Source organism: Homo sapiens, chromosome 8 (genome assembly GCF_000001405.40).
Source record: "Homo sapiens chromosome 8, GRCh38.p14 Primary Assembly".
Classification (NCBI taxonomy): Eukaryota; Metazoa; Chordata; class Mammalia; order Primates; family Hominidae; genus Homo; species Homo sapiens.
The window spans coordinates 20,093,532-20,111,376 of record NC_000008.11 but is presented as its reverse complement, the minus strand read 5'-3'; the positions used below and the strand labels follow the sequence as shown (position 1 = coordinate 20,111,376).

Here is a 17,845-nt window from a genome sequence, read left to right as displayed (position 1 = left end):
ATCCCAAGTCATTGGTAAGCAGTGTCTGCTTTAGTTTTTCCCATCAGAGTCTGTTTCTTCAGAGTCCTGGATAAGGAAAAGATATGGTGGCTTTTGGTCGGGCACGGTGGCTCACTCCTGTAATCCCAGCACTTTGGGAGGCGGAGGCAGGTGGATCACGAGGTCAGGAGATCAAGACCATCCTGGCTAACACGGTGAAACCCCATCTCTACTAAAAAATACAAAAAAAAAAAAAATTGCTGGGTGTGGTGGCAGGCATCTGTAGTCCCAGCTACTCAGGAGGCTGAGGCAGGAGAATGGCATGAACCTGGGAGGCAGAACTTGTGGTGAGCCGAGATCGTGCCACTGCACTCCAGTCTGGGCGACAGAGCAAGACTCTGTCTCCAAAAAAAAAAAAAAAAAAAAAAAGGTATGGTGGCTTTTGACCCTGGAATGTGGTCCATGGTCAAGTCAGCCTTCTTCTGCAAAGCCCCAAGACAGAAAGCTAGCTGACAAGACACCTGCAGCCCAAATCTTGGGTACAGCCCACAGCTGGGTCTATTAGAGAAATAGCATCGTAATAACCTGTTCTGTTATGCATCAAGTTGTGTTCAGACAAAGAATGAGAGTTCTGTTTCTGGCAATCTCTACGGAGGGGTCTTGAGCCACATTCAGTCTTGGGAAGAAGAACCATAGCACATTCTGGAAACTCCTGTCTTCTCAAGTGTCAAAGACAAACTTTAAACCAGAGGGAGGGTCTTCCTTTGGCCTTGAGAGAGATGGAAATTTTGTACAGAATATGTAGGTGGAAGCCTCCAATGGAAAATAATACTAATAACATCTTAAATTTATGTGGCGCCTTACAACATATAGAAACCCCCTCATTTGATCCAGTATGAACTGGCAGGTATCATTCACTCCACTTTGTAGATGAAGACACAGATATTCCAGGAGGCTCAGCATCCTGCTCGGGCCACATACCTAGTGAGTAGCAGAGTCAGAATGCAAATCCCCATCTTCTGACTCCCGTCCACAGAACTTTCTGAACACCAGAAAGAAGGCCCTGTAAAAAGAACCTATTTCCTTGTCTGAGTAAATAACCTGTAGAAATGGTGGTTATGGGCTGGGCGTGGTGGCTCACACCTGTAATCCCAGCACTTTGGGAGGCTGAGATGGGTGGATCACGAGGTCAGGAGTTCGAGACCAGGCTGACCAACATGGTGAAACCCTGTCTCTACTAAAAATACAAAAATTAGCTGGGCGTGGTGGCATGCACCTATAATACCAGCTGCTTGGGAGGCTGAGGCAGAAGAATCACTTGAACCGGGAGGCGGAGGTTGCAGTGAGCCGAGACCGCGCCATTACACTCCAGCCTGGGCAACAAGAGCGAAACTCCATCTCAAAAAAAAAAAAAAAAAAAGGTGGTTATAACAGCCATTTATAATAAATTTTTACCTGATTTTTATTCAGTTGACAATCACCATTTATGATTAAAGCCAAAAGACACTTGATTTTATGCTACTTCCAATGCAAGCAGGAGATGAGGAAATGAGACAAGCTCTAAGCTTGGTTGCAGCCAAATTCATTCATTACTTTACCACTCTATTTTTTAGCAAAAGTTATGCTGCAACTCCCCCTCTCTACTCCAAACATGCAAAAGAACCTCGAACTGTTTCTAAATCATTTACCTACATGAAAGCTCAGTCACTTTTCCCCCGGGCCCTGAGACTTTGGAGCAGGAAGGGCTGGTGGGGAGAATGTGTGGCCCTTCATCTCATTTCCCTTGCTGAGATCACAGGATTCGTTTCTGTATAGGGAGCTCTGCTTAAATCTCCAGACTGGAAACATGTTCTAGCAATCCATTCTCTAGAATAAACTTCTACCAAAAACAAATCATAGATACTCTAGAGTTGTCATAGTGACATTTTTCCGGGGATTGTATCTGTTTTCTTTTAGAATTTGCAAATGGAAGAAACTCAAAACATTCAAGTCATGCAGCTATGTCTGGACCAGGTTTTGTCTTAAAACATTTAACTCCCCATTTTGAGGTATGTTAGCATAAATACATACATATGTAGGTAAATACAATTTTAGAAAATAAAACCTAACAAACATTTGTGAGAGTTGTTGAGAATGTGGGTCAACATATGCAAATTAACTTCCTGGTGGTGTCACTAAGTTAATGGAATTGGAATCAGTGACCAATAGGCTGAATAAGAACTTAGGGCCACCCACTCCTGTGTTTCTCAGTATTTTCTCTCCATATCCCCTTAGATAAGGGGATATAATGATCTTATAATCTGCTTCTAAATTAGTTGAAAATTTAAAAAAAATTGCCATTGATGACAAATTTAATAAAAATAAAAAACAGATCAAAGCAACGGATGAAAGTTCTGCTTCGTTTTCACACCTCACGTCACCTCTATGCCTCTTGGGATAACAAAATTCTGGTCCAGTCCAGCTTTGTAGAGGAAACCAGCCAAGAGAAGGGTGGTGACGCGACAGTTAGTGTGATCAACAGAGACCTGAAATGGGAATCAGAACACCTGAGTTTCAGGTACAGATACTCACTTGAGCCTGTAGGATCTCCTAAAGGCCTTTGTTTTCTCATTCATAAAATAGCTGGGTTCTTTTAAGCCTTAATTTTGCTTCTTTTTATAAAACTACATCAAGATCAAGACAGACCATGGTTATAAAAGCTATCTGTGGAAGTAATGGACTATCTGCCAGTGAATGAAGGATGCTTACTGTTATTCTAGTAGAAGAAATGGATTAAATAATTGTTTCTCCAATAGCGGGGGGTTACTGGCCCATTTGATTTTAGAGACTCCCCTGACCATATAGTTGTTCAACTTTCTATGACCGTCTTCTGGATTCCTTTCTGTGGCTGCCAGCACTTCCCAAGCCCCTAAAACTCACCATGTTACTTTCTGTTAGGACTCCTAAAATTCTCTTAGGACTCCTAAAATACAAGGTAAAGAACGTAGAAGTGAATAAAAGTCACTTGAAAACACAAGCACTTGCGGGCTGTGGGCAAGGCCACTTGAGGCCCAGGTGAGACAAAGGCCCACACAGAATGGGGCAATGTCCCTCTTCCTGCCCTGGACCCCAGGCCTTCAGAAAACCAGGAAAACAGAATCAGCAAGGGCACCCCGTAGGATGCAGGGTTAGAGAGGCCATTTTCAGGCAGTGGCAAAGGCAGGAGCGGTGGCGAGGGCCTCTTGCAAACATGGCTGTTGGACACAGACCTCCAGGAGGAGATGCCCTCAAGAGAATAGTAGCCATGGGTGGTGCTGTGTGCCCAGCTACTAAAGAAGCTGAGTTGGAAAGATTGCTTGAGGCCAGGACTTTGAGGCTGCAGTAAGCTATGATCACACCACTGCACTCCAGCCTGGGTGACAGAGAACACGAGTCTTACTGGAGCTAATTTATTTATTTATTTGAGACAGAGTCTCACTCTGTCACTCAGGATGGAGTGCAGTGGTGTGATCTCTCCTCACTGTAACCCCAGCCTCCTGGGTTCAGGGGATTCTCCTGCCTCAGCCTCCTGAGTAGCTGGGACTATGGGTGCATGCTACCACACCTGGCTTTTTTTTTTTTTTTTTTTTTTTTTGTAGAGATGGGGTTTCACCATGTTTGCCAAACTAGTCTCGAACTTCTGGCCTCAAGTGATCTACCTGCCTCAGCCTCCCAAAGAGCTGGGATTACAGGCATGAGTTTAAAAGGGTTTTTGATTCCATGGCCACATCTGAGATGATTGGAACCCATGGAATAAAATAAGAATTCTTGAGTCTATGTCAATACAAATAAATAAATAATTAAATAAATGAAGGGAGGTCAGGTGCTGTGGCTCACATCTATAATCCCAGCAATTTGGGAGGCTGAGGCAGGCAGATCACCTGAGGTCAGGAGTTCAAGACCAGCTGGGCCAACATGATGAAACCACATCTCTACTAAAAATATAAAAATTAGCCAGGCTTGGTGGCACATGCCTGTAATCTCAGCTACACAGGAGGCTGAGGTAGGAGAATCACTTGAACCCAGGAGGTGGAGGTCAGTTGTAGTGAGCCGAGATCGCACCACTGCACTCCAGCCTGGGTGACAGAGAGACTCGGTCTCAAAATATAAAATAAAATAAATGAAGGAAAAGAAAAAGCTTTTTCTTTGGGTAGAATTTCAATGAGTAAATACAAAAGGGCTAATAAAATAGAATATCACCTTTAGGGAAACACAACAGCAATTATTGTTGCAGGTGAGAATCATCAACGTAAGCCAAACTTAATTGACAAAGATATGATGATAACGTGGTCTTTGCATGTTCTTAAAGGATCTAGTTATTAAGTACCAAAGGGAAAATATTTACTATGGAGAAACTTGGCAGACACAACCTTAATAAGGGGTCCAAGTCACCGTCACCTGTAAAGGGACAAATAAATACCATGTGTCTCCTTGTATGATGCCCTGACGAGGACAAAACAGCTCATCTGTGCTATTCTTACCCCAAATAGAAAGTGCGAACACAAATCATGAGGAAACACCAGACAATGCCAAACTGAGGAACGTTGGGCAACATAACTGATCAGTCTTCTTGAAAAGTATCAGGATCATGAAAGCCAAAAAGATTGAGGAAATGTGTCAGATTAAAGAAAACCAAGGAGAAATGACAACAAAGCACAATATGTGATTCTGGATTGGATCCTGGACAAGAAAAAAGTGACATTAGTAGATTCTATAACTGTTATTTACACCTGTGTTAACTTCATTGTGACCATTGTACTGTGGTTATATAAAATGTTAACATTTGGGGAGTTGGTGAAAGTACATTAGAATTCTTTGTGACATTTTTGCAATTTTTATGGAAGTCTGAAATTATTTCAAAATGAAAAGCTTGAAAAAGTTAAAAAAAATTTAAAAACCTCACACATACATACTCATGAGATTTCCAGGGTTCCAGAAATAACTGGGAGTTGGGTGGAAGAAGGTGAGAAGGTCTTCAGTGAGGTATGGGAAAATGAAGAGTTACCAAAGGGAGAAGCTAGTATCTATTATTTTTGGGTACTAAGTTAAATATAGCATTTTTCATTCACATCTCCTTTATGTGGCTATTTTGAGGTTAAGTAGAATGGTGAATATAAAATGCTTAGAGCAGTCCTTGGCCCACAGTACGTGCCTAATAAATTCTAGCCACTGTTTTGTCATCTCCATGGTTGCCATCCTGGTTGTAATAAGCTCTTGAGGCCTAGGGGTGCTCTGGTTACACACATATTCCACTTGGAAATGTTCACATCTGTACTTACTTTCCCTCATGTACAGACTCGGCTTGACCCAGATTTGGTTTGACTGTGTCCCCACCCAAATCTTAATGAATTGTGACTTTTCTCATACAGCCTTGCTAGTGTCCAAACAGTATGGACAGAGCCACTGTTCACCCCACCCCACCCCCTTCTCCCTCTGTGCAGCCTTGGCTCCCCACTAGGGAAATGCCAGCCTCATGAGTCCCCGTCTAATTGTGCAACACCGTTTCCACTGTCCCTCCCTCCCCACATCAGCCCTCGCCTACCTTCGGTTCCTGCCTTTTTGTCTGGGGCTGGCTTGAAGCCAGTTCAGTGCATCAGATGGCGCCTACTCAGCAGAGATGAGGGTGCCAGAAGAGCCCTGAACACTGCCCACCGTCGCCCCCAAAATAACCTCCCACACACTCCTGTTTGCTGATCTTTGAAATTCTTTAGCAGAAGATAAAGCCTTTGTCCAGGAAACAGAGAGATGTGGGGGAGGAGGCCATGGCTAAAAGAATAATGAATTTAGAGGACTTGGATTTTAGTCTTAGCACACACTTTGGCTGTTTATCACTTGCCTTTGTGAGACTCATTTAACTCTCCCAGGGTCAGGTTTGCTTGCCTAAAGGGGAGGACAGTAAAACTTGCTCTGGATGTCCCAGAGCTTTGATGGTTGAATGACTTAACACACATGAACTGCTGTGTGCATGGGAGGTGGCCTTACTGTCATGAGAGCTGATAATTGAGTGTACTCATTCCTGGGGGAGGAATTACACTGAGCTTTTAAGACTGATTAAAATCAATCAATCCAATGGGATGGAGAAGTGGATGCTGGCTACTGTACCTAGGGTTATAGTTGAAACATAAGTATGAAAATTTAAAACGACTGAAATGTTTTTAGATCATTAAACAAGACGTGTGTATTTCATAGGTGCCACTTCCAAAAAGTGCTTTGTGGTTGATCCCTTCCTCCTGCATCCCATGAAACCCAGATGAGAAACCAAGAAGATAAGATAAAAGCAATTTTTCCTCAGGTCCCAGCTTCTTGAATCTCTTGTTCGTGTTTGTGGGATGCCAGGTAATTTTCAGGCCTCAATCCCTGCAATAAGATGCTCAGAAAGGAAGCAACATGTATCAGTCAGGGACCAGCCAGGAGATAAAAACCATACAGATATTTGAATGTGGAGAGTTCACTATAAAGAATTATTCATTGGAAAAAGGTATTGAAGTAGTGGGGAATTGGTCAGTAAGGAGGGGAGAAAATCCCAAATAATGTAGGATTTGCAGCTATAGAGAGCAGTTGCTATCCCTAAGGCTGAGACCCAGACCTCTTTGAGAGCCCAGCCATGGCTCAGTGCTCAGCCACCAAGTTGCAGAGGTGCCATGGTGGCAGAACTTGCTGTTAATCTTCCTTCTGAGGTGCCAGGGAGAACTGTCCACAGGTAGGTGATAGGTCTCAGGACTCACTGCAAAGATTCCTGAGGAGGTGCTGAGGTCCTGCAGGAGCTGGGTGCAGATGTGGTCACTGACTGCTGGGCTCAGATACTGAATAGACTGTGTATGGCAAGAGTCCAGAGGGGAGAGTGCTCTGGAACCTGGAGGAGAGAAACCCCTTCTGGTGGCAGTGTTCTTCCAACATCTTCTGCTAACAAGGGTCCACATTGTGCCAGCTAGCAAAGGGGAAATACAGGGCCAGCTCCGTTGACCCAGAACAATGAAGGGTGAATTTGGAGCAGAGAGGCAATAAATTGATAACTGACACAGATCATGGCATTTTACAGGGAACATTGGGCTCTAGGCCCAGCATGGGGACATATGGCCTCAGACAGGTCTCATTCTCTGAGCCTCAACTCTCATGGCTACAAAATGGGATCTTATATACTTATCTTTCAAGGCCGGGATCAAATAAGACAGAGGGTGGAAATTGTCATGAATAACAGGAGTCACAGCTTCAATATGTATAATGACACCTATTTCACTGACAATTTTAAAGTAATTTAACAATATGAGTTAATCAAAACAACATTTATTGACTCATTTCTCACTCTTGGGAGGCGTCAATGAGAGAATATGCTCAGTGGGTTTGCCCATATTAAGTGCAAAAGTAAATGTTAGTTGTAATCAACTCATTGTTAAGTTACTTTCTCTATAACAAAATAGTGATGCATTTATTTTTCCTTTACTATGTAGTCACTCACTTTGTTTATTGAGTGCCTACCATTTGCATACATGAAGCCGAGTGTTGCGTTAGAGGCCCAGGAGCCATGATCACTTTGAGGAGTGGGGAGATAGAATGCTTTCAGGGATGTGACTCCTTGGGAAGAAATGCTGTTTATTTCTCTCAAGAGCAGAAAAGCCGCCCATGTTCTCTTGAATTATGGCTACTCTAAAGTCAGCCCCATGTGGTTTCTCTCCTGTTCCCACCCTCCCTCGTTCCCGCTGTCCCTCATTTAGTTGCTTATGAATTCTGAGCATTTACACAAAGAAGCTTTCATTTTTGAAGAAAGCTTTGCAGGCTGAATTCCTCAGAACATGTTCTGAATGGAGGGACTGAGGTTTTCCTATGTGTTTGTTTGCATGTGAATAAACAGGAAGTGTATAAACCGCTAAGGAAGAATTCCTCTGGAGGAAGTGAGTTTGGGAGCCAACTCAGGACCTCCCGGGCTTCACTGGCTCTTTTCTGCTTTTGCACCACAGATGCTGGGAGGGGAGATGCTAACTGGAATGACCGACGTGGGGGCATGTTCAGAGCCCACAGGGCCTGCATGGCCGCTTAAATTGTTTCCTTGATGGTAGTCTCTTTGCCCTTCAGTCTCTCCAGTAGAGGGACTATGCACCTCCATGCTATGGATATTTGGGACTGGATAATTCTTTGTTGTGGGCGCTGCCCTGTGCCTTGTAGGGTGTTGAGCAGCACCCCTGGCCAATGTCCACCAAATACCAGGAACACCTCCCCCTCTGCTGACCAAAATGTCTCCAGAAGTTGATATACCTTCAGGGACGAAATTGCTCCTAGTTGAGAATCAAACTGCAGCTCTTAAGAAACTTCCTAAAGCAAGCCTTTCACCTGCTTGAATGAGATCCATGTTCTTTAGCCTGGCATTCAAAAGTCTTCAATAACCTGACTCTTCCCAGAAGCCTCATCCCCGCTGTTGTCTACTCTTTCTTTGACTCCAAAAAATAGATCTGTCCAGAGTTCCCAGGGAATTTCTTTCACAGCTCTTTCATCTTCTCATCCTACTTTCTTTACATATTCTTTTCTCTCCTCTCCAGCTACCCAAGGAAGATTTGAATAAATTGAAAGATATAATTTGCAAAGAAAAACTTGATATTGTAAAAAGATCAGATCTCTTTAAAATAATCTATAATTTAGTATCATCCCAGTAAAAATGTCAAAAGAAGGGTTTTTAATAGCTAGACTAGTTTCTTCTAAACTTTTTTTATAGAAAGTAAACACGTAAGAATAACTGAAAATATTTTGAAGAGTATTAAGGTACAAATCCTACCAGTTATTCAAATATACTATAAAGATATAGTTATTTTTAAATTATGGTATGATGCTTAATTACAGATGCATAAACAAAACAAAATAAATATTCTATAAATATGACCTAATGCATGTGTGAGTCTTATATATAATATATAATAAATAAGGCATTTCAAGTCACTGGATAAATGATGGATTATTCAGTAAATGGTTGGGGAACAACAAGGTAGCCCTTTGGAAAACATAAATCCCTACCTTCTTACATTAAAGTATTTCCCAAGTAGTTCATAAGTATTAACATAAAAACTCCAACAGGTATGTAATAGTAAATTGTATCATTTTGTTAGGAGTTTTAAAATAAGAGGCAAAACCCAAGAGTCATGAGAGAAAAATATTAGTAATTTTATTGAATAAAAATGTGTGCTTCACAAAAACCACCTGTATTAGTCCATTTTCATGCTGCTGATAAAGACATACCCGAGAATGGGTAATTTATGAAGGAAAAGAGGTTTAATGTACTCACAGTTCCATGTAGCTGGGAAGGCCTCACAATCATGATGGAAGGTGAAAGGCACTTCTTACATGGCAGGGGCAAGAGAGAAAATGAGAATCAAGTGAAAGAGGTTTCCCCTTATAAAACCATCAGATCTCGTGAGACTTATTCACTACCACAAGAAAAGTATGGGTGAAACCGCCCCCATGATTCAATTAACTCCCACTGGGTCCCTCCCACAACACGTGGGAATTATGGGAGCTGCAATTCAAGATGAGATTTGGGTGGGGACACAGCCAAACCCTATCAACACTATAACAAAGCTAAAGACAAAAATAATTAACAACGGTATTATAAGACATGTGATCCAACAAAGGGTTAATTTTTATAAAGAGTTTATGAATGAGAATCAAATCAAATAGAAAAAAGCAATAGAAAATCAAATAGGATCCAATTAAATGGGAAAAAAAAGTCAAGAACTCCAGAAAATAAGAAAGTAAATATCTGAGGTTTTCAAAGTTAGCCTTGTTATAAGAAACAAATAAAAATAAGTCTCTGTTTTTATCTATCAAAATGTCAAAGGTCAAAAGGTTATTAATAAAGCTTTTATAAATGTACAGAAGTAGTATACCCTTACATTGCTACAAATTAAAGACAGAACAGTTTGCCAATAACTTTCAAAATTATAAATGCACATATCCAGTTATTCCTTGCCCAGGAATATATCCTACAGGTACACCCGCATGAAATGTGCAAAGAGGGATGTGCAAAGATATTCACTGGAGTATTGTTTAGTAATTAGTTAATAGCAAAAACCCGAAAGCCTTCAAATGTCCATAAATATGAGAAATGGTAAAGTAAATGATTGTGCAATTGATTGAACACTCTTTGGACATGAAATGCGATGCTGCCGATTTGTATGGGTCGAAATGGATTGGATTGAGTTCCTAGGTGTATTAGGAGAGAAAAAGTAAGTTGTAAAACCATGTTGGTGCAATGGGTGTGTGTGTGTGGCTGTGTTTGTCTCTGTGTGCACGTCTGTGGATAAGATAGTTCTGGAAAATGACATGCAGAATTCACTAAATTGGCTTCTGAAAATATATATAATACGTATACATGTAATATTAGCTAATATATATTATATATTATATAATATGTAACGTTATATATTATATAATATGTAACATTACATATTATAGTATATGTAATGTTATATATTACATTTAATATATAAATACCATTAGGTTTTAAAATATATGTTTTGCTCTTTTAAATTTAAAAATAATAAAACTTTTATCATTAATATTAATAAGAAAGCCTTCTTATTATCTGCCTTCACAGCACATGTCACTCATATCTCTCATTGTTAATTGTCAAGTGACATTTTGTGAGCTCACATGTTATTATCCACATAGCTCTATCAGCCAATTACATTGTTGACTGTTTTTTAACTCCTTTGCTTTCCCTATGATACTGCTGTAGAGTTGTAAAAATCATAAATTTTCAAATGATATGGGCATGGACTATGACTTCTTATTAAATATAGATGTGTTAAATTCTGAAATGATCAAATACTTCACCATATTAGGCATTTACAGATGGAAAATTGAAAGGAAAATTGTCAAGGGAAGAAAGAGAATATCAGAAAGGGAAGCCAACCAGGTGAGTTGGTTTGCACCTGTAATCTCAGCTGCTCGCGAGGCTGAGGTGGGAGGATTGCTTGAACCCAGGACTTCAAGACCAGCCTGGGAACACAGTGAGACCTCATCTCAAAAAAAAAAAAAAAAAAAAAAGTTGAAAAAAATGGAAGGCTTCCAGTTACCCTGCAAATAAGTGGGCCCTGAGAACTGAGTCACGCAATTACCAACTACTTAGTAGGAGAATTGAGATCAGAACCAAGGTCTGAAAAAACAATGATAGCAGCAAAACAGTCTCTACCCTGGAAAGACTGACAAAGGACAAATATGAAAAATAATTTTACAAGAAAATTTGTGTATACTTGTAAGATACTATCAGAAAAGTAAGCATCTTGTATTTCTGTGATCTCCTTCTGTTATTTCACGTTTCCCAAACTCACCTGTGAGAAGAATTACCCAATTCTCTGGAGAGCATAGAAATCTAGAAAATTTACATTTTTTTAAACAGGCAACTCAAGGAAATCTTATAATTAACCCACCTTACAAAACATTGCTTTATCTCACTTCACTCTCAAAACAAGCCACTGAGGTAAGTAAAATATATACTCTTTATTCCTGTTTAACAGATAAGGAGACTGAGGCTCACTGAGTTTAAGTGTCTTCCCCTTAGTCATAGAGTAACATCTCTGAACTTGTAACATTTCTTTTTTTAAATATGTATTTCTTTCTTTTGTAGTCTTCCAATAATTATTCACTTTCAGCAATTAGAAAACAAAAATATTTTATGAATGCTAGGATATCCACATCTTAATTAAGGCTGCCATTGATAAATATACCACTGGATGAAACTCCGTTCTTTAAGTACCAAGAAATGAAGGTTACTGAGGGTGGACATAAACCAGAACCTAGAAGCTTACATAGATTCTGCCCAACTCTTCCTGTTTTAGAAGAAAAACATGGAATAAAAAGGAGAAGGGGGAGTCTTGCAAGTCGGCAAGCAAATTCTGATTTGCCACTAAATCATTATTTTTTCTCCACTAGAAACCCTTTTCTAAGACAATGTGGGAGGAGGAAGTAGTTGCATGAGTCATGCTGTCACTTGTCTTAAAAGAAAAAAGTGAAAAATGATTTTCTTTTTTTTTTCTTTCTTTCTTTTTGGTTTTTTTTTTTTTTTTTTTTTTTTTGAGACTTAGTCTCGCTTTGTCACCCAGGCAGGGGTGCAGTGGCACAATCTCGGCTCACCGCAATCTCCACCTCCCAGGTTCAAACGATTCTCCTGCCTCAGCCTCCCAAGTACCTGGGACTACAGGCGCGTGCCACCATGCCCAGCTAATTTTTTGTGTTTTTAGTAGAGACAGGGTTTCACTGTATTAGCCAGGATGGTCTTGATCTCCTGACCTCGTGATCTGCCCGCCCTGGCCTCCCAAAGTGCTGGGATCACAGGCATAAGCCACCACGCCTGGCCAAAAATAATTTAGGGAGAAAAGAGGAAGCAGTGCCTTGAACCCACACGTGTCCACCAGACATAGGAAAGAGGCTACAAGCTAAGCTTTTTCAGGGTTACCTAGACTGGAGGAAACACCCTTCCATTTCCCCCCAAGGTATCTTTTGTGGCTTTTTGCCCCAACTTCAAAGTGTAGTTGAATTTTAGATATTCAAAACCATTGGGGAATTAGTTATTTCTCAGGGCTATTTTGTATTTTAATAGTTGAGAGTCTATGCCTTTGAGCACCAACATCTGAACTCATTCTTGTTGTTTGAGGATAGAAATCAATATAAAATACATTTTGGCAGCCTTGTGTACAGACTATACTGAGCAGAGTCTGACTTTTTCATAATGATTAAGGGGCATCACTAGAAATACCAGTCCTGGTAGGTTGCTATAACTATAGTGATCCCAGGCTGAGCCTGAGGAATTATATTTGAAATTTTGAGATGACCTTGTTGCCCCTAAGCTAAAACTGAATTTTTTTTATTTGCTTTGGAATGAGTTTATTTACACCAAAGGCCTTATAAAGAGCAAAAAGTTTCATTTTGTGGCACAAAATCAGAATGATTTGAAATTGATGTGCCATTTCTTTACAGCTGATTTTTTTAAAAAAATTTTAGTACCTAGTATCTTGAATTGTTAGTGATTTTTTCACAGGTCTTTTTTCTGCAATTAGACTGAAAACTCCTTAAAAGAAGGGACTGTGCACTGGGTCTTTGGGTATTACCCATAACAGTGTATTATAAAAACAGGTACCTATCAAATATTTGTTGTTTAGAATGATACTGAAAAGAGCAAGATGTCTGAGCCACCTGGAAAGGCTTTAAACCCTTGTGATGAGTGGGAAGGAGAGAAAACTGAATAAACTGCAAAAAGGATTTCCACCCTGAAAGCCATTTTCAGGGCCAGCTTGAGAAGACCCAAGGCTGGGGGAATATTAAAGACCAAAATAAATCACTAAAGAAGATCTATGTTATAGAGAGATTTTTCAGTCTTCAGAGATAGGAGTATTTAATATCATAAATGTGATGGTTAATACGCAGTGTCAACTTGATCGGATGGAAGGATACAAAGTATTGATCCCGGGTGTGTCTGTGAGGGTGTTGCCAAAAGAGATGAACATTTGAGTCAGTGGGCTGGGGAAGGCAGATCCACCCTTAATCTGGTGGACACAATCTAATCAGCTGGCAGAAAAATGTGAAAAGGAGAGACAGGCCTAGGCTCCCAGCCTAAATCTATCTCCCTTGCTGGATGCTTCCTGCCGTCGAACATCGGGCTCCAAGTTCTTCAGTTTTGGGGCTCAGACTGGCTCCCCTTGCTCCTCAGCTTGCAGACAGCCTATTGTGGGACCTTGTAATTGGGGGAGTTAATACTTAATAAACTCCCCTTTACATATATATATATATATATATAAAATCTCCTATTAGTTCTGTCCCTCTAGAGAACCCTAATACAATAAAGATGCTAATTCTCTTTAGATAGACTTACAGACTCTAGGTTGGATGCAACTACAGTGAAAATTCCCAATGAGATTTTCATGGGCCTTGACAAACTGATTTGAAAGTTAAAACAGGGAGGCATGGCCAACAATATTTGAGATGCTTCTGAATAAGAAGAATAAGGAGGGGGACTTATCCTACTAGGTATCAGAACTTATTATGAAACTAAAGTAAGAAAGTTTCATAATAATACTTCTGTCCCAGAAGTAATACTGGGACAGAGATAGGAGATAGACAAACTGAATGATGGGACAGAAGGTCATGCAATAGGGCCAATACAGAAAGCTGATATATGACAGGAGGGGATGAAATATCAGAGGCAAATAAATGCAGCTAAAATTAAATAATTATTCAGTGGTGGTGAGCGAGCATAGAATTGCATCTCTACCTTATGTTATACACAAAATGAAACTTAAAGTGATTTAAGAACTTACATGCCAGTAGGAAATCTTTAAAGGTTTTAGTAGAAAATATAGGTCAACATCTTTCCTTTCATAGAGCAAAGGATTTCTTGAACAAGACACTTAACAACTGAAAGTTTAACCAAATTAAGAAGTATGTTCATCAACACGATTTAAAGCGGGAAAAGGATCTGATGGCAACAGTTTTAGGCTTCTCAGGCCACGTGGTCTCTGTCTTATCTTCTTTTTGTTGTAGTGGTTTTGTTTTTACAACTGTTTAAAAGCATAAAAACTATCCTTACCTAAACGCCATACAGAAACAGGCCATGGATTAGATTTGACCAGCTAGTTGTAGTTTGCAGACTTCTGCTTTCAACAAAGTGAAAAAACAAGATACACACTGGGAGAAGACATTTTTTAACACATCCAGTAGTCAAAGGATTCGCTAATATCAGGAATATAAAAGATACGGCCAGCGCAGTGGCTCATGCCTGTCATCTCAGCACTTTGGGAGGCTGAGGCGGGCAGATTACTTGAGATGAGGAGTTCAAGACCAGCCTGGCCAACATGGTGAAACACTGTCTCTACTAAAAATATAAAATTTAGCTGTGGGTGGTGGTGGGTACCTATAATCCCAGCCACTTGGGAGGCTAAAGCAGGAGAATGGCTTGAATCCAGGAGGCAGAGGCTGCAGTGAAGTGAGATTGCACCACCGCACTCCAGCCTGCGGGACAGAGCCAGACTCTGTCTCAAAAAAAGAAGAATATAAAAATATAAAAGATCAACTAATTCATAAGAAAATGACAAACAATAGGAAAACATGTAAAAATCATAAACCTGCATTTCACAGGAAAGGAAGATTTTTGTTCAGTAAACATATAAAAATGCCCTCCTTAATAGCAATCAATACTTTAAGCTTTGCAGTCCATATATTCTCTGTCAGGGTTGGGGTTAAATATAATTTTACACTTATGTGATTATTAAAAATTGATACAACAGACATTACCAAGTGCTGGAGAAGATCTTTTAATCAACCAGACCTTTTTTTTTTTTTTTTTGAGATGGAGTCTCACTTTGTAGCTCAGGCTGGAGTGCAGTGGTGCGACCTCGGCTCACTGCAACCTCCGCCTCCTGGGTCCTGGTTCAAGCAATTCTCCTGCCTCAGCCTCCTGAGTAGCTGGGACTACAGGCACACACCACCATGCCCAGCTAATTTTTGTATTTTCAGTAGAGACGGGGTTTCACCATGTTGGCCAGGCTGGTCTTGAACTCCTGACCTTGTGATCCCACCAACTCGGCCTCCCAAAGTGCTGGGATTACAGGCATGAGCCACCGCTCCCAGCCCAATCAGAGCTCCTATACATTGCTGGTGAGGAGGTAAATGGGTTCAACCACTTTGGAGAACAATTTGGCATTGTCCTATAGAACTGAACTTTCACGTACCCAAGGACTCGGCCATTCCATTCCTAGGTATACAGCCAAGAGAAACTCTTGCACATATAAATCAGAAGATATGCCAAAAATGTTTATAGCTGCACTGCCTGTAGTCATTAAAAAATGGAAACATCGAAATGCCCTTTGTATTAGTTTCCTATTGTTGGTACAACAAATGACCACAAATATGGCTACTTGATACGGCACAAATGTGTTATCTTACAGTTCTAGAAGTCCAAAGGGGATCTCACTTAGCTAATATCAAGGTGTTGGCAGAGCCACGTGTGAAGGCTCCATGGGAGGGAATCTGTTTCCTCTCTTTTTCTGACTTATAGAGGCCACCCATGTTCCTCAGCTCAGGGCCACTTCCATCTTTAAAACCAGCGATGGCTGGTCCAGTCTTGGTCATCCTGCATCCCTCTGACACAGATGATTCTGCCTTCCTCTTCCACGATGGCTCTTATAATTATATTGGGCCCACTTGGATGATCCAGAATAATTAACCCATTCCAAGGTCAGCTGATTATCAACTTTAATTCCCTCTGCAATGTTAACTTCTCTTTGAAATGCACTGGCCTACATGCTGGATTTTCCCAGCTCCCATATTCCCAGGCTCCAGGGACAAGGGCATGACTTCTCCAGAGGAGCTGTCATTCCACTTTTCCACATCCATGAGAGGAGAATGTATAAATACATTTTGTGGATATGATAGAATATTATGCAGTAATAAAAGTGATGAAATGTAGCTAAGTGCAACAATATGAATTCCTCTTCATAACATAATGTTACAGAGGAAAAAAGAAGCAAGTTCTCAAACTATATAAAATAGGACGTCTTTTTTAGTAAGCCCCAAAACAGCAAGAATTAAATAATGTGGTTCACTCCCAATCAACCCTACCCCCTCTCAATAATTGTCTTCACTACTAGCCACCTAGCTGCTTAGGCCCAGGTCCTGGGGCTTGGCTAACACACATTCCAATGTATCAGTAAATCCATTTCAAAATACATCCTGAGCTTGACCACTTTCCCCATTTCTGCTGCCGTATACTTAGTTCAATCTGCCATGGTCATTTGTCACATAAATTAACCCAGTAGCTCCTTCATTTATTTTTCTGCTTCCACTCTTGACCGTTATAATAATCCACCCTTTACAGAGTGACCTTTATAATGCATAAGTTGGATTACAGCATTCCACTGTTTAAGCCTTTTAATGACTTCCAATTATAACCAGCATAAAATCCAAAATTCTTTGCAAGGCCTACAAGGCCCTGTGAAGCCTGCCCCCACCTGCCCATCCCAACTCACGTTAAGCCACCTGCTTCACTCTTCCCAGACTCACTGGCTCCCTTCTTCTTCCCCAAACAAGCTCTTTCCATCTTGGGGCCTTTGCACTCTTCAACCACATATCTCTCCCCAGGTTTTCAGGTGGCTGCCTTCTCTATTCAGATGGCAGCTTCTCAGGGACCCTTCTCTAACATCATTAAAGCATCAATTCCAGTTACTCTTTAGAATATCATTTCATTTCTTAAAAATAACTTGTGCGTTTGTTCCTGTGCATCCCACGGTAAGTAAAAGAGTAGACTTGGGAGTAAGTCTAACTGTGTGACATTGGATCCCTTAAACTTGCTAAGCCTCAGTTTTCACATCTATAAAATGGGGGAAATAACAGCATGCATCTCATAGAGTCATATGAGAATTAAATGAGTCGATATACAGAAAGTACTTAGAGTCTTGCACCCAGTAAGAAGACCCATGAGTGTTGGCTGTTCGTCATTGTCTGCCTTTCCTTCTTAGGATGCGAGGTATTCTTCATAGGTGTTGTGTAGCCTAGAGAGTGGTGAGTACTCCATGAACATCTGCTGCCTGCTGCCTGCCTGCCCCTCTGAAGTGCGGTGATTATATTTGTGGATTAGCTCCTTTAGGGATGGAGTCAAAGCAAAGTTCAAAGATGGACTAAATTTATAGAATATAACTCTATATAGAAATATACCAAAATGATAGCACCAGTTGAGTTATGGAGTTGTTACCTACACAGAACATGTTTGCAGGTAGGTAATTTTTTTCTTCTGTATTTATTAAAATAATTATGAGTAAATAAAATTTTAGGACTTTGAAAATTTAAAAAATCAATATAACTAACATTTTATAAA

The 17,845-nt window shown here is 40.5% G+C and overlaps 1 long non-coding RNA gene across 1 annotated transcript in view, besides 1 other annotated feature; it reads right to left on the bottom strand.

Annotated features, from left to right (window-relative positions):
- Positions 1–17,845, bottom strand: part of LOC105379311 (uncharacterized) — a 45,659-nt gene that overhangs the window by 13,481 nt on the left and 14,333 nt on the right. The window lies entirely within an intron of this gene.
- Positions 6,850–7,351: an enhancer, noted in NCBI's record as "H3K27ac hESC enhancer chr8:19961537-19962038 (GRCh37/hg19 assembly coordinates)". NCBI's record gives its function as "activates a minimal SCP1, AML or CMV promoter by ChIP-STARR-seq in naive H9 embryonic stem cells {active_cell/tissue: H9 hESC(naive)}" and the evidence as "EXISTENCE:reporter gene assay evidence [ECO:0000049][PMID:30033119]".